Source organism: Homo sapiens, chromosome 15 (genome assembly GCF_000001405.40).
Source record: "Homo sapiens chromosome 15, GRCh38.p14 Primary Assembly".
Lineage (NCBI taxonomy): Eukaryota > Metazoa > Chordata > Mammalia > Primates > Hominidae > Homo > Homo sapiens.
In genome coordinates, this window is record NC_000015.10 from 21,466,151 (window position 1) to 21,484,941 (window position 18,791).

At 36.2% G+C, this 18,791-nt stretch overlaps 1 long non-coding RNA gene across 1 annotated transcript in view; it reads right to left on the reverse strand.

Moving 5' to 3' along the window:
• Nucleotides 1–835: 835 nt before the first annotated feature.
• LOC105369227 (uncharacterized) overlaps nucleotides 836–18,791 on the reverse strand; it is a 31,295-nt gene continuing 13,339 nt past the window's right edge. Inside the window, exons 6-7 of the long non-coding RNA XR_007064502.1 lie at nucleotides 1,182–1,324; nucleotides 836–913 (exon numbers count right to left, since the gene is read on the reverse strand). This is a non-coding gene — a long non-coding RNA (uncharacterized LOC105369227). The remainder of the gene's footprint in view (nucleotides 914–1,181; nucleotides 1,325–18,791) is intronic.

The following is an 18,791-nucleotide window of genomic DNA, read 5'->3' on the forward strand; positions in this document are numbered from 1 at the left end:
CAATCAATGCACAAGACCCTTAACATATTAAAAATATTTTTTATTTGTTAAAACAAATAAAGTTTACAAATAATCTGAGACATATCAAAATCCACTCTATTTTATTAGTTTTATGTGCATTTGGTGAAACAATTTTCTTCTAAATTTTACAGTGTTTATTAATAAAATGCAGAGGATATGCACTGAACACCTACCTCATGCATCGCTTACAACACTGTTATCACTTAACCACAAACAGCCTCTCCACTTAGATTTTCTTCATGTATCTTACATTTCCAGGTCCTTAATCTTTTATGGAGAAGTATATAAATGATGACCACCTAATACAGAAGGACCGCTCAGAGCTGTAATGCATCAAACATTGACCACATGCTTCCATATAAACATTAGGAATAAAGGCAAAGCACTAAGTTATTCGAAAGTTTAATTATATCAATACTTGCTATTCAAAACATTTAAAATTATTTTAATGCAAATAATTACACTCAATATAATTTTAAATCTTCAAGAAGCAATCTCCTACTACTTTTATCCTACATACAAATAAATTATCCAATTATTTTAACTTTGGATTATTCTCTATAATGAACACTCTGAATAATTTAACTCATGACAGGATTCATACAATTAACCTTTTAAACATTTGTCTTATAGTTTACATCACATTGATTACCCTTTTATCAGATCTCAGTAGCACCAAAAACCTGACAATGGTATAGACACTGCCCACTAGCCTCTAGACACCACGGTCATATGCCCATGGCAACGTTGAGGAGGTTGAGATGATGAAGTCCATCTTGTACATGCCCACCGAGAAACTCACCGGCAGCAGGATGTGCTGATGGCTCTTGCCTCTGCAAAGATCCTTAGGTAGAGGCTGGGGCTGTGAAGGTACCAGGATCTCCTGTAGTTCCTGAATGAGAGTCATCATGTAGACACTTGAGAACAGCATTATTTGTTTAAGAAAAACATCTCTGAATAATGACAGAGTGAAAAACAGTCCTCTGATTATGGAGTTTATTGGGAAAAGTGAACAGTATTTACTGACATGCAAATTGATCTGGGTCACATTGGAAGAAGCCACAGTGTAAAAGATCAGGCTACTACTAACAGGAAAACTGAGAGACCATGAGAACAAATGGAAGGTAAAAATTGTGGATTTCCATTTAAACCTCACCAACCAGGAAATGCTGGGGCTGATGTTGACGACCTGCAGCATGCCCAGGAGGCAGGTGGTACAAATGGAGAGGACCCTGATCACCCTCCTCAGGTAGAAAGATGCCTCATATTTGAAGTCATTCTGAAAATTCAGTGATTCAAAGAGCTGTGGAGACAAGAACACCATGGTGAGAAGGACCACCATGTGGATGAGGGCCACATGACAGACTGGTAGGTAAGTGCGCTCTGGCCTGAGATCCAGAAAAAGCAGAAAAGGAGAAGACGCAGAAAAGAAGGAGAAAAGTGTTGGCTGAGATGCCAATACCAGCTTAGAAATGAAAGGCATTTTTCATGGGAACACAAGTGCAAAGTAATCATCTGAATTACAAAGACAAACATACTTTGTACATCAAAATATGAAGTATAAAAAACATTTTGTACTTCACATCATCTGTATTATATATTCTATGGCCAAAATTATCATAAACATTATTTTTATTCCACTAATTTTTTTCTTAATTAATCCTCTCATATAAATCCTTGATATATATAGTGTATGTGTGCATGTATGTATATATAATTTGATGTATAATGTTGAGAATGTATTTTGAAGAATGTATATGAAAAACTGGCTCACTTTTTACAAAGCATTTCTTAATGAAGAGTGATGGTTACATAACAATAACTCACATGTTTGTATAGTTGAGCTAAAGTAAATTTTATGTTAAGGGAAAATAATCACCTAAAGAAAAAGTTGAAAAAAAAGTTTAACTGACTCACATCACAGCACTCAGTTTCTCTTATTATTTCTTTCACTTTTAAGAATGCTTATAATTACATTAGGCCCAAATCTGTAATTCAAGTTAATGTTTTTGTTTTAGAGTCAGCTGGTTATCAACCTTGATTTCATCTGCAGCCTGAATTCCCATTTCTCATATACCATAATACATGCCTAGAACCTGGTGGTTAGACATGGGGACCTTTGCATGGCATTATTCCACTTACCACAAGTCCTATTAAACGAATCCCTTAAAATAATTCTGGCTCTGTTCAAGTTTTGTTTTTATCCCAGAGAAATCTCATGAAAGCTTTATTTCATCTCAGGAGGAAATTGCTAAAATCCAGTTTTCAATGCTACAAGTACATGGACTACCTTTTTCTACTTTATGGGATCCATGAATTTGCATTAAGTGATAATTTTCTTGATGCTTCACTTTATACAGAGATACCCTTCCATGGAAAGATGCCTTTCCAAGCCTTGGAAAAACACCAAGGTCACTAATAGTAAAGATAATTCTCCATCTCTTAATCATGATATCTCTGTATGAGAACCCTTCATAAAATTTTATTGAATAATTCTGCAATTACTTTCTTCTTTGCCCTGAATACAGTCATCACTATTGTATCCAACTAATTCAGCCCGCAGCTTAGAATAATAGAGCTCTGGCTCATGCCTATAATTCCACCGCTTTGAGAGGCTGAGGCAGGGACATTGCTTCAGATAAACAGTTTGAAATTAGCTTGAGCAACACAGTGACACCCTGTGTCTATCAAAAATAAGAAAGAAATTAGCTAGGCATGGTGGCACGTACCTGTGGTCCCAGTTACATGGGAAGCTGACATGGAAGGATCACTTGAGCATAGGATCTTGAGGCTATAGTGAGCCAGTGAGTTGTGATGGTACTAATGCACAAACCACAAATATAAATGTGCAAGGCAATGAAGATGATTTGACAGTATTTTTTACCTCATACTCAGAAATTAACATCTGAGTTAGAAAACTGCTAACCAATTTTAAACCACCTGATATGGATGAGTTTACAAAAAGGAAATTGCATAGTTTATATATCAGTTTTTATTTTTTCTCCTAACACATAATCTAGTATAAGTACACATTTATCTCAATGTCCAGAACCAAACAATGGATAGTTGCCACCAAAATATACTGATGCCATCAACATGATATGGTTCTTTTGTCATGTTAAACCTAAAAGAAGCTCCAGGATAGTATCAGATTAAAGCCATAATAATCTCCATATATTAAATACTGCAGTCTAGTTCCAGAAAATAAACATGGACAATTAATATACAAATAACTACTTACTACTTATGTAGAAATCACTTTTACTAAATATACTGTGTGTATTAAAAGTTATATCACAGAAAGAGGTAATACAATTAGATAAAACAACATACGTAAGAATTCTATTTTTTTCTCCCCATAAGGTATCCAGATCACACACTTTAATTCATGCCACACCCTCTCTAATGACTACTACATACCGCAAAAGAATGTATCTGCTAATTATCAAACTTTATTTTTCTCTAATGAAGGTTTTCAGGTCATTAATGCTGAGTCTGGAGAAAAGAACAGTGGCTCCCATGAACAAGGGTTGACAAATGTAACACACTTGGTTATATTTGAATTTCAGGTAAATGATGAATTGTTATTTGTATATACTCCAGTAATTGCTTACACATATTATACACAGATATAAAAACATTGCATAGCTATACTAAAAAGTTATTTGTTGTTTACCCCAAATTTAAATGTAACTTATGTTTTCTCTATTTTATGTCACAAATGTGCCACAACTACCATAGAACTATTGTATAATTTGGGACAACATGTTACAAACATGGGAAAACAGAATAAAAGAAAAAATATCAAAGGTTTTATAAAGGCTGAGTGCTGTGACTTATGCCTGTAATTTAAGCATTTTAGGAGGCAGCAGTGGGAGGACTGAGCCCAAGAGTTTGAGACCTGCCTGGGCAACATAATGAGAACCCATCTTCACAAAAAAATTTCAAAAATTAGCCAGGCATTGTACCACCTGCCTGTAGCTCTGGCTACTTGTGAGGCTGAGGCAGCAAGTTCACTTGAGCCTACACGGTCAAGGCTTCTGAGACCCCTGATCAAACCACTGCACTCATTCCTGGGTGTCAGAGTGTGAACTTGTCTCAAAAAAACATCAAAACATGAGATGCAGCAAACTACTGAGAGAAATTCACAGCAGTAAACACCTACATTAAAAATAAACAATTCTAAATTAATAACCTAATGTTTGGCAAAAATAGTTAAGGGCTAATTAACTACTCATCACACCTTGGAGAAAGAATATCAGTGCGGCAAGCAAAAGTCATGTAGAATATCTAAGAGAAAAGACTGAGGAGTGAGGTGCCTGGGGGATTCGGGCTTTGAAAATTATCCACATATTCCTGAGAATCCAGAAGCCCATAAGCATGTTCAGGGTCAATCAAGGGACAGGCAAATGCTCACAAAGACCTACGAAGCTGTTATCTCTCATGTCTGCTTTACCTCCAAGCCCTGCACAAGCAGGAAGAAAAGAAAACAGCAAAGTTGTAATCTTTCTGGCTAAGTAAACCCAACTGCAAGAACTAGTAGATTTATATTTGATGTGAGCAGGCATTTGAGAAAATCTCTGTCAAATAGCTAGCTCACATGAAGCTAATAAAGCAGAGATTTTTATTGCTAAACACGACAAAAGGATGATATTTTAAAAATAATTTTGAAAACTCACCAAACAAACAAGTAAAATTTACAATAAGCAACAAAAAAACCCAACGGGATGAGAGAGAATATTATTTCAGGGTTGTTGTAATAGAAAAAGTCTAGTTTTCAGCAACAGCAATGAAATACAAAGCGTGCAAATAAATTAATGAAAAAATAATGGCCCACTAATAAGATAACAGATATTAACAGAAACAGTCCTAGAGGAATCGTAGGCATTGAAAAATCTAGAAAAAGTCTTTAAATTACCTGTCTTAAATGTGCTGCAAAGATAAATAACATCAAAAGGAAAAACATTTCAGAAGAATAGTGTCTCATCAAATAGAAAATATTAATAGAGATAGAGATTATAAACTGAAGCCAAACTCTAAAGTTGAAAATTAAGATAACTAAAATAAAAAATTCACCACAAAGGTTCAACAAAAGATTTAAGTAGACGAAAGACACAACCAGCAAGCTTGAGGTCACTTCAATTCGTATTATCCCAACTAGCAGAAATAAAAAATAATGAATAAAGATGAACAGAGCCTAAGATAACAATGGGATACTATAAAATGTGCCATTACAAGCATTATGAAAACTCCCGAAAGAAGGGAGAAAGATAAAATGGGGCAGAAAGAACATCTGAAGAAATAATGGCTAAAAAGTTCCCAAGCATGATGAAATACGTGAATCTACACATTCCAAAATCTCATTGAATTCATAGTATAAACTCAAAGAACTCTACACCAAGACAAATTACAATAAAACTTTCAAAAGCTAAAGAGACAACTTTGAAGAAAGTTATGGAGAAAAGACTACTATTTGCAATGCATCTACACTGACATTAACAACTCACTAAAAACTAGAGTCCAGAATATAATTTCTCACTAAAAACTACGGAGTCCAGAATATGATAGGACAATATATTTAAAGTGTAGAAAGAAAAAAAAAAGCCAACAAAGAACTCTATTTTCAGCAAAACTGCTCTTCAAAGATGAAGGACATCCTTGAAGACCTTTGAAGACACTAAGAGCTATATAGATTAAAACAAATTTAACAGCTTGTCACTAGTAGACCTGGTATGCATTAAATGACAAAGGTTATCTTTTGGGTTGAAATGAAATGACAAACTAGGTAATAATGCAAGGCCATATGAAAAAATGAAGAATGCCAGTAAAAATGAGTACATGGCAAAATATAAATGCCACTATTAAAGAATATTTTGTAACTTTTATCTATTGTTCTTTTTTACATGTAATTTAAAATACTAATGCATAAAATAATTATAAATTTTTGTTAATGTCATACAATGCATAAAGATGTAATATGTGACAAAACAACATAACATTGGAGGAGCAGATCTCTATTGAAACAGCTTTTAAAATAAAACTGAATTACGAGCGGTATTAATTTAAAGTACAGTTACACAGTGATGAGATTAATTGTCATCCTTAAGGTAGCCACTAAAAATACAACTAAAGAAAGAAGTGAAAGAGGAAATGAGAAGAGAATCAAAACTGTTTTGGAAAAATACTAGAACATTAAAGATGTCAGTAATATAAGAGTTAATTAACAAAAATATACAAGACTTTAGAAAACAACTAGAAAAATGGCAGAAGTGTGCCCTTCCTTATAAATAGTTTAAATAGAAATTAACATCTACAATTACAATGCAAAGATTGGCAGATGGTTTAAAAATAAACAAAAACATGAACTAACTTTATGTTATCTACAGGAGAATCTCTTTAGTCCTAAGCTCACAAATAGGTTGAAAGTGAAAGGATGGGTAAAAAGATTCCACACAAATAGTAAGCAAAATAAGCTGGGGTGGTTACCCTTAGACAAGATAGGCATTAAGACAACATTGCTATAATTAATTGACACAGGAAATTTTATGTTAAAAAATTATAAATCTATCAAGAAGATAAAATAGTTTTAAATATGCATGTACCTAACAAAGACCCCAATATATGAAGCACAAATGGCAGAATGGTAGAAGTAGAAAATTCTCAATGTGAACTGCTGACTTTAATATACCAACTAGACCTAACGGACAAATTCAGAAACACCTAATCAAAAACCTTGAAATGAGCAAAAATTGATTGCATTTTCAGATTGTTTTCAAGCAAGCAATTTAACCACCTTGCTATTTTATGGCATGCTTATTTTTTTAAAAAAAGTTATGATGAAATATGCATAACATCATACTCAATACAAAGTTTCTGGTATATTTATAATTATGCAACTATAGCCATGGTATAACTTTAAAATATTTCCACTATCAGGACTAGACAATCATTACTGATTTCCCTTTTATGGACATTCCATTTTATCACCTTTATTGTTTGGTTTGGTTTCGTTTTTGAGATGGAGTCTCTGTCATGCAGGCTTGAGTGCAGTGGTGCGATCTCAGCTCACTGCAACCTCTGCCTGCCTCGCGGGTTCAATAGATTCTCCTGACTCAGCTTCCTGAGTACCTGGGATTACAGGCGCCCACCACTGCACCTGGCTAATTTTGTTTTTAGTAGAGACATGGTTTCACCATGTTGGCCAGGCTGCTCTCGAACTCCTAACCTCAGGCAATCCACCTGCCTCAGCCTCCCAAAGTGCTAGAATTAAACGTGTGAGCCACCATGCCTGGTCCATTTTTATTACCTCTTTATTATTGTGGTATGATTACTATTTTGTATAAATGGAATGATACACTGTATTATGTTTTGTGTCTGGTTTATTTCACTTAATGCATGTGAGGTCAGTTATGTCATTTTTTTTTTTTTACTAATTTTTTGTATATTTTAGAAAATGCATTTAGAAGAGAATAAAAAACTTTTAAAATAACTTCCATATTTCTCAATGTTGTGCATTTTTTTCAAAAAATAAGCAAATATTTTATTTTTTTTGGTTTCTTTGAGACAGATCTTATTCTATCACCATGGCTGGAGTGAAGTAACATGATCATGGCTTACTGCAGATTCTACCTCCTAGGCTCAAGTAGTCTTCCCACCTCAGGCTACCAAGTATCTGGGACCACAGCTGCACACCACCATGCCCAACTAATTTTTAAATTTTGTGTATAGATGGGGTCTCATTATGTTGCATGGGCTTGTCTCAAACTCCTGCGCTCATGAGATTCTCCTGCCTAGGCCTCCCAAAGGGCTGGGATTACAGGTGTGAGCCACCACACCCAGCCTATTTTTTTCTAAAGACAGGGTCTCATTCTGTCCTCAGCTCAAGTGCTGTGGCGTAATCATAGCTGAAGGCAGCCTCAATGTACTGAGCTCAAGTGATCCTCCCTCACTGACCCAAAGTGCTGGGATTACAGGCATCAGCCACCATGTCCAGCCTGAAATAATATTTTAATTAAACATTAAGAAAAATAGAAGAAATAAGATCTAGTGTTTCGTAACACAATAGGACAACTATAGTTAACCGTAATTTATTGTATAAAAGATAGAATTGTTGAGTAAGGTGTGAGCACCAGTTTAGGGTTTTGGCACATTCTTTACACTTGAAGAGTTTCTATCTGGTATGAATTATTTGATGTTGAGTATGGGTTGAGTGTCTGTTAAAAGCTTTGCCACATTCTTCACATTTGAAAGGTTTCTTTCCAGTATGAATTCTCTGATATTGAGAAAGGTGTGAGCTCCTGGTAAAAGCTTTGCCACATTCTTTACATTTGAAGAATTTCTCTCCAGTGTAGATTCTCTGATGTTGAGTAAGGTGTGAGCCCTAGATAAAAGCTTTGCTGCATTCTTTACATTTGAAAGACTTCTCTCCAGTGTGGATTCTCTGATGTCGAGTAAGGTGTGAGCCCCTGTTAAAGGCTTTGCCACATTCTTTATGTGTGAAGTGTTTCTCTCCAGTATGTATTCTCTGATGTTGAGTAAGGTGTGAAGCTCTGTTAAAAGCTTTGCCACATTTTTTGACACTTGAAAGGTTTCCCTCCAGTGTGAATTCTCTGATGCTGAGTAATGTATGAGCTTCTATTAAAGGCTTTGCCACATTCTTTACATTTGAAGGCTTTCTCTCCAGTATGGATTCTCTGATGTTAAGTAAGGTATGAGCCTCTGTTAAAAGCTTTGCCACATTCCTTACACTTGATAGGTTTCTTTCCAGTATGGATTCTCTGATGTTGAGCAAGGTGTGAGCTCTTCTTAAAGGCTTTGTCACATTTTTCACATTTGTAAGGTTTCTCTCCAGTATGAATTTTCTGATGTCCAAGTTGTAAGCCCCTGGTAAAAGCTTTGCCACGTTCTTTACATTTTACTGATTTCTCTCCAGTGTTAATTATCTTATGTCTCTTCAGATGTGACTGACTAAAGACTATTATACATTTTTTATTACATCTTTGTGAGCTCTCTCCAATATAAGTTCTTCGATGTTGAGTAAGTTTTGAGGATGGGTTAGAAGTTTCACCACATTCATTAGGGTTGTAAGGCTTTTCTTGAATATGGATACTTTGAGGATTGATAAAACACTTTCTCACATTCATTACATTTGTAATAGTTTTCTAGAAAATGAGTATTCTGATGTTTACTAATATTTGAGTCATGGCTAAAATTTATCTGATTTTTATTACAAAAGACAGATTCCAAAAATTGATGTTGATATTTACTCACAGGAATACATGGTTCTGTAGGAGTAGCTGGCAGAAACTGAGGCTTCTTCAGAAATATTCTATGTTCTTCATCTCCTTTCACAGTTAAATTTTTGTTATGAGAAGTTGTCAAATATTGGCTACATAAATTATAATTCTTTTTGTCCTTCACCTATACTTTCCCAGTTTTTCCATAAGCATAAATTTTCAAGGCCACAGCTCCCATATCTTCCCAGTGTTGCTTTTCCTAGTGTTGCTTTTTTGAATGACTCTTCTATGCCTTGCTCTGGTAAAATGCCTTGGTTGTAATAAGAATATATAGCTCAAAGTAGTAAAAATAACTAATTATTCTACATACTGAATTTAGCTGAATATACTTTACAAATCCAATATGAAATTTTACCAAGCTGAGAACATGAGCACAATGCCATAGTAGAAAACCAACAGAGGACAGAGCAAGATGGCTAGATAGAAGGCTCCAGTGATCATTTCCCCTGGAAGGACACCAATATAACAACTATCTATTAAAAAGCAAACAAAAACCTTCATAAGAATAAAGGCGAGCACTCACAGTACCTGGTTTTAACCCTGCAGTACACAAAGAGGCACTAAAACAGGGTAGGAAAGACAGTCTTGAATCACTAATGCCACTCCTCACTCATGCCCTGGCAGTAGTCACATGCTATGTAGACAGAATCTGTACACTTGGGAGAGGGAGAGCACTGGGATTGTGAGCATTGAACTCAGTGCTGCCCTATCATAGCAGAAAGCAAAACTGGAATGAACTCAGCTGATGCCTGCCCACAGAGGGTGTGTTTCAACTGGCCCTGGACAGAGGGGAATCACCCTCCCAGTGATTGGAACTTGAGTTCTGGCAAGCTTCACCACCATAGTCTAAAATGCTCTGGGGCCCTAAAGAAACTTAAAACAGTCTAGGTCACAAGGACAGCAACTCCCAGGTGTCATGCTGAACTGGGCTTAGAGCCAGTGGACTTGGGGGCCACATTACCTACTAAGATACAAGCTGGGGCAGCTAAGAGAGTTCTTATACCACCCCTCCTCCAAACTGAGGCTGCACAGCTCACAGATTCAAGAGACCACTTCCATCTACTTAAGAAGACAGAAAGAGTAAACAGGACTTTGTCTTGTATTTTGGATACCAGCAAGGCCACCAGTCAGAGTTATAAAACATCCTTCTCAGCCACTAGCTCCTAATTAAAATTTCTAGGTACATACTGGACTATAAGGAAATCTGCTGCCTTGAATGAAGAAATCCGGTACTAACAAGACCCATCAACTGCTAAGTAAAGGGCCCTTGGCCTGGAATAACCTGCAGTGATAACCAGGTAGTTTGCTGTGAGCTTTCATTGAGACTCTGAGGCTTGCTAGAATCAGGTGAGACTCGGCACATTCACAACTGTGGTGGCTACAGGGAGACACTGAAAAAGGTAGAGGAAAAACTAGAGAACTTCATCTTGCAACTTAGGTCCCAGCATGGCCAAAGAGAGGAAGAGCACCAGTGGGCTCTTGGGGTCCCTTATTCCAGGTCTTGGCACTTGGATGGCACTTCTGGACCTGTACTGGGACAGAAGGGACACCACTGACCAAAAGGATGAGTAGCAGGCCAAGCATCATTCACTATAAGTGAACTAAAGAGCCTTGAACCTTAAGAGAACATTGGTGGAAGCCTGGCAGTATTCCCGATGGGCCTGTGGTGATGGCAGCAATAGGATGAGGCCCCTCTGCCTGTTGAGTAAGGAGGGAAAAATGGGAAGAACCGAATTTCATGGTTTAATTGCTAGCTCTACCACAGTACAATAGAACACAAAGTAGACTCCTAAGGTTATTGACTCCAGCCCCTGGCTCCTGGATGGCACCACTGGGCTTGCCCAGAACCTGAGGGAACTCACTACTCTGAAGGAAAGGATACAAACCTGGCTGGCTTACCACCTACAGATTATAAAGCTCCAAGACCTTGAGCAATTACTGGTGGTACCAGGTAGGGTTACAGCTCACCATGGGTGTGATCAAGTGCTGTGCTGGTTTCAGGTCTGACCCACTGCAGTCCTACTGATAGCAACAGAAGACAAACTCCTAGGCAGACAGGGATGGGTGCACTGGTGAAACTCGACCTTCAAGGAAACAACAGTCTAAAAAGCCTGAAAACTGAGCTACCAGTTCCAGAAAGAATTCATGGACTAGAGTGAGAACTTCCATCCCTGTCTAACCTGCTCTCTATTGGTTCTTTGAGAATGATGCCTTTTAACCAATTGAATGGTGTCTTTTCCAAGCCCACCCATGAACCAATCAGCATGCATTCTCCTGTTTTAAACCCATAAAAATCCCAGACTCAGCCTCACAGATGGCTACCTACTTTCAGGTTCCCTCTTGCTGCTGATAGCAAGACCAGAAAACAAAGAACAAAATGGCAAGAGTAAGTCTTTATATAATCAATAACAACACTGAATGTAAATGGACTAAATTCTCCAATCAAAAGACACAGAGTGGCTAAATGGATACAAAAATTAAGACCCAGCGATTTGTTGCCTACAAGAAACACACTTCACCTATAAACACATAGATTAAAAAGATTTAAAAAAATTCCATGTCAAAGAAAACAAACAAAAATAGCAGTAGTTGCTACACTTATGTCAGACAAAATAGATTTCAAGACAAAACTAGAAGAAGAGACAAAGATGGTCACTCTATAATAATAATGAGTTTAATTCAGCATGAGGATGTAAGAATGTTACATACATATGCATCCAACACTGAAGTACTCAGATATATTAAGCCAGTATTATTAGAGCTAAAGAGAGAGACAGGCTCCAATATAATAATACCTGGAGAATGCAACATCACACTTTCAGCATTGGATAAATCTTCCAGACAGAAAACCAACAAAGAAATCTCAGGCCTAATCTGCACTATAAACCAAATGGACACAATGGATATTTACAGAACATTTTATCCAATGGCTTCAGAATACACATTTTGCTCTGCAGTGCATGAATCATTCTCATGGATAGACCATATGTTAGGTCACAAAACAAGTCTTAACACATTTTAAAAATTAAAATAATATCAAGCATCTTTTGTGACTACAATAAAAAAACCTAGAAATCAATAACAAGACAAATTTTTGAAACTATACAAACACATAGAATTTAAACAATATGCTCCTGAAAGGCCAGTGGGTCAATGGGGATATTAATAAATAAATTGAAATATTTCTGTAATATGTCACAATGGAAATACTTAGGATTTACAGTAAAAGCAGTACTAAAAGTTTATAACTAAAAGTGTCTACATAAAAAAATTCAAATGAACAACTTCATGACAGATTTAATGCAATTTCCATGAAAATACCACCAGTATTCTTCACAGAACTAGAAAAAAAACCCTAAAATTAATATGGATCAAAAAAGTGCCTACATAGCCAAAGTAATACTAACCAAACAAATAAATAAAAAATATGGGGTCATCACATTACCCTACTTCAAATTATACTACAAGGCTATAGTTATCAAAACAACATGGTATTGGTATTAAAATTTACACACAGACCAATGAAGCAAAATACAGAATCCAGAAATTAAGCCAAACACAGGCAACTAAACTAATCATCAACAAGGCATATAAAGACACAAATTGGGGAAAGAACACCCTATTCAATAAATGGTGCTAGGAAATACTGGCAAGCCACACACAGAGGAATAAAACTGGATCCCCATCTCTGACCTTATACAAAAATCAATTCAAGATGGATCAAATATTTCAATCTAAGGCCTGAAAGCATACGAATTCTAAATGATAACATAAGAAAAAAAACTCTTCTCGACATTGATTTAGGCAAAGAATTCATGACTAAGACCCCAAAAGCAAATGCAACAAAAACAAACATAAATAAATGGGACCTAATTTAACTAAAAAGCTTCTGCACAGCAAAGGAAATAAGCAGCAGAGTACACAGACAACCCACAGAGTAGCAGAATATATTTGCAAACTACAGATCTGACAAAAAGCTAGTATCCAGAATCTATAAGGAACTCAAAGAAATTAGCAAAATAATAATTCCATCAAAAAGTAGGCAAAGAAAATGAATATATATTTTTTCAAAAGAAGATATACAAACAGCTAATAACAACCTAAAAATGCTCAACATCAATAATCAAGGAAATACAAATGAAAACCACAGTTAGATATCAAATAACTCCTACAAAAATGGCCATTTTTTGTAGGCCAAAAAAAGTCAAGAAAACAACAGATGTTGGCATTGGATGTGGTGAAATGGGAACACTTAACAAAATAATGTCATTTGCAGCAACTTGGATGGAGCCGAAGGTCATTATTCTAAGTGAAATAACTCAGAAATGGAAAACTAGATATCGTATGTTCTTACATATAAGTGGGAGCTAATCTATGAGGATGCAAAGGCATAAGAATAATGTAAAAGACTTTGGGGACTTGAGGGGGAAGGCTGGGAGGCGGGTGAGGGATAAAAAACTACATATTAAGTACAGTGTGCACTGCTCAGGTGACAAGTGCACTGAAATCTCAGAAAACACACTAAAGAACTTATCCATGTCATGAAAAACCACCTGTATTTCCAAAACAATTGACACTTTAAAAAAAAAAAAACCTAATGACGTATCTTAGAGAGCTAGAAAAACAAGAGCAAACCAAACCAAAATTAGAAGAAAAGAAATAATAAAGATCAAAGCAGAAATAAATGAATTTGAAATAAAATACAAAAGGTCAATAAAATGCAAAGTTGTTTTCTGGAAAAAAAAAAAGAAACCTGACAGACCTTTACTCAGACTAAGAAAAAAAAAAAAAAAACTCAGCAGGCAGTGGCTCATGCCTGTAATCCCAGGACTTTAGGAGGCTGAGGCGGGCGGCTGGATCACCTGAGGTCAGGAGTTCAAGATCAGCCTGGCCAACATGGCAAAACCCCGTCTCTATTAAAAAACACAAAAATTAGCCAGGCATGGTGGTGGGCGCCTGTAATCTCACCTACTCAGGAGGCTGAGGCAGGCAGAATTGCTTGAAGTCAGGAGGCGGAGGTTGCAGTAAGCTGAGATCGAGCCACTGCACTCCAGCCTGGGCAACAGAGCAAGTCTCCATCTCAAAAATAAATAAATAAATAAAAGAATAAAAGGAAAAGACTCAAATAATATCAAAGATGAAAAAGGAGACATTTCAACTCTACAACTTATACTGCAGGAATTCAAAAGATCATTAGTGAGTACTATGAGCAGATAGATGCCATAAATTGGAAAATCTAGAACAAATGGATAAATTTCTAGACACATAGAACCTAAGAAGATTGAATTATTAAGAAATCCACAACCTGAATACACAAACAAGACGTGATGAGATCCATAATACAAAGCCTCCCATCAAAGAAAAGCCTGAAATCTGATGGTTTCACTGAATTTGACAAAACATGTATAAAACTAATAGCAATCCCACTTAAACTATTTCAAAACAGAGGAGGAGGAAATACTTTCAACCTCGTTCTGTAAGGCAAGCATTACTCTCATACTAAAATCAGACAAATGCATATCAAAAAAATCTATAGGCCAATATCAGCAATAGATGCAAAATTTCTCATAAAAATACTGGCAAGTAAAATTCAGCAACAGATTAAAAGTTTATTATTCCTCATCATCAAGTAGGATTTATCTCATGGATGCAAAGATACTTCAACATATGCAAATCAATTAATGTAATATACCATATCAACAAAAGAAAGAACAAAAACCACATGATCATTTTAATTGATCCTGAAAATCATTTGACAAAATTTAATATCTCCTCATGAAAGAAACCCTCAAAACTATAGAAGAAACATACATGCAGCCAAAAAACACATGAAAAAATGCTCACCATCACTGGCCATCAGAGAAATGCAAATCAAAACCACAATGAGATACCATCTCACACCAGTTAGAATGGCAATCATTAAAAAGTCAGGAAACAACAGGTGCTGGAGAGGATGTGGAGAAATAGGAACACTTTTATACTGTTGGTGGGACTGTAAACTAGTTCAACCATTGTGGAAGTCAGTGTGGCGATTCCTCAGGGATCTAGAACTAGAAATACCATTTGACCCAGCCATCCCATTACTGGGTATATACCCAAAGGACTATAAATCATGCTGCTATAAAGACACATGCACATGTATGTTTATTGCAGCACTATTCACAATAGCGAAGACTTGGAACCAACCCAAATGTCCAACAATGATAGACTGGATTAAGAAAATGTGGCACATATACACCACGGAATACTATGCAGCCATAAAAAATGATGAGTTCATGTCCTTTGTAGGGACATGGATGAAATTGGAAATCATCATTCTCAGTAAACTATCGCAAGAACAAAAAACCAAACACCACATATTCTCACTCATAGGTGGGAGTTGAACAATGAGAACACATGGACCCAGGAAGGGGAACATCACACTCTGGGGACTGTTGTGGGGTGGGGGGAGGGGGGAGGGATAGCTTTAGGAGATATACCTAATGCTAAATGACGAGTTAATGGGTGCAGCACACCAGCATACCACATGTATACATATGTAACTAACCTGCACATTGTGCACATGTACCCTAAAACTTAAAGTATAATAAAAAAAGAAACATACCTCAGCATATAAAAGTTATATATAGATATATAGATATCACATATAGTATGATACTAAATGGGGAAAAATGAAAAGCTTTTCCTCTAAGATTGACAACATGACAGAGATGCACACTTTCACTACTGTTATTCAACACATGGCAGCTAGAGCAATTAGCAAGAGAAAAAATAAAGGGCAAGCAAATTGGAAAGGAAGAAGTCAAATTATGTTTGTTTGCAGATGATGTGGTCTTATATTTGGAAAATCCTAATTCACTAAAACACTATTAGAACTCACAATTTTAGTCAAGATATAGGATTAAAAAGTTAGCAGCATTTCTATATGCCAACAGTGAACAATGTGAAAAAGAAATCAAGAGAGTGGTCCCATTTACGATAGCCTCAAATTAAAATTAAATACCTAGGAATTAACCAAAGACGTTAAAGATCTCTACAATGAATACTATAAAACATTGATGCAAGAAATTTAAAAAGACAAAAATATGTATTTTATGTTCATGAATAAGAATCAGTATTTTTAGTGTCTATATTAACCAATGCAATCTACAGACTTAATGCAACCCTATCAAAACATCGATACTCTTCACAGAAACAGGAAAAACAATCCTATAATGCAGACAGAACCACGAAAGACTCAGAATAGCCAAAGTTCTTGTAAGAAAAAATTTTGCCTTTATGTGCCTGGCTTATTTGTCTTACCATATGATCTCCAGTTCCATCCATGTTGTTGCAAATAACAGGATCTTATTCTTTATAAGTGAAAAGTACTCCTGGGGGTGTGTATGTACATTTGCTTTATCCATTCATCTGTTGACATGTTGCTTCTAAATCTTGGCTAATGTAAACAATGCTGTGTGAAAGGAAAACAAATCTTTGGACCCCAAAATCACTAAGCTAAAGGGAAAAGTCAAGTTGGGAACTGCTTAGGGCAAATCTGCTTCTCATTCTATTCAGTCATCCCTCTGCTCACTGCAAGTCCTACCAGTACACAGGAGAAATTTTAAAAATGAATAAAAGCAAAATAATTCAATGAAAACAAAAAAGCAACTGTCATTACCTCCATAAGAGGTGACTGTGTAGGTAGAAAATCCAAATGTAACTGACTAGCTGTTAGCTTAACTGTACAAAACACTATTAATATTCCTAAATTCTATCCATACTTAGAAAATAAAATACAATAGCAAACTTCACCTGCTCCACCCTATATTACTCCCTATGTTGATAACAGTTGAGATGTCTCATGTAGCTGATTTATTTAAATATTTGCACCAATTCAGATTTAATCAAATTTTACTATTATTTTTACTTCTTTGTTTTTGCCGACTATTGATTATTATTATTATTTTTTTAAGACAGTCTCACTCTGTGGCCCAGGCTTGAGTGCAGTGGCACAATCTCAGCTCACTATAACCTCTGCCTCCTCGGTTCAAGTGATTCTCCTGCCTCAGTCTCCCGAGTAGCTGGGATTGCAGGTGCACACCACCACACCTGGCTAATTTTTGTATTTTTAGTATAGACAGAGTTTCACCATGTTGGCCACGCTGGTCTCAAACTCCTGACCTCAGGTGATCCACCCACCTCGGCCTCCCAAAGTGCTGGGATTACAGGTGTGAGCCACCACACCCAGCCTGATTAGTATTTTTAATGCATTTCTTTGAATTCATTTTCTCTTCTTTATGGAGTGCATCCTCCAGTTTTGTTTTTTTGGTTTTTTTTCCCCTCACAGAGTTTACAGGTAGTCAGTAGTATATACTTCTGAATAAATTCTGTCTTAGGTTGGTTTCAGTGATAGTTTGGCTGACTGTAAATTTCTATTTCCAATGTTCTTTTCTGTGAGAACCCACTATTGATTTCTGCACTTCTTTTTGCTTCTGATGTCACCACCCTGATCAAATCAAAGTCTCTCTCATTCCTTTGAAGCAAATCAGTTTATATCATTCTGGTGATATAAAATGTGACCTTCATGTTTCTGGGTATGCTTTTTGTTTTTGTTGTTTTCCATTTATCCATTTCAACATAACATGAACTTTTATAACAAAAGCACATTATCCTTTTCCAGTTTCTGGAAGTTTTTCTCAATTATTTTTGTTACTAATTCTTTGAAATTTATTAAAACTGGCTTTATGCCAAGTAAAGTGGTAACTATTACATATGCAATTTAAATGGCTGCATAATATTCTCTAATCACTATATATGTCCATTAAAATCAAAGTGGGAAATAATCTATTCGAATCTTCTATATCCTTATCCTTTCACTTTATTTTATGTGTTCTACTTGTCCATTTTATCTAGTTTTTTTCCCTCTCTCTTCCTGCTTTTCTTTTGAATTTATTTATTTATTTATTGAGACTCAGTCTCACTCTGTTCCCCAGGCTGGAGTGCAGCGGCATGATTTCGGCTTACTGCAACCTCTGCCTCCCGGATTCAAGTGATTCTCGTGCCTCTGCCTCCTGAGTAGCTGGGACAACAGGTGTAAGCCACCATGCCCAGCTAATTTTTTTCTTTGTATTTTTAGAATAGAAGGAGTTTCACCATGTTGGCCAGGCTGGTCTTGAACTCCTGACCCCAGGTGATCCACCTGCCTTGGCCTCCCAAATTGCTGGGAATACAGGTGTGAACCACTCTGCCCAGTCTCTTTTGAATAATTTAAATCCTTCTACCCTCACCCACCAATTCCATCTTTTTTCCTTTGATTGGTTTGGAAATTAAACCTCTATTGGTTTGGAATCTTTACTATTCTTTTAGTTGTTTTCCTTGAAATTTTACACTGCATTTTGCATTACAATTTAACAAAGGCTAAAATTAAGCTAATTTTAACTCCCTCCACAAAATAATGCAAACACTGTAGAATGCCTTCACTCTGATCACCTC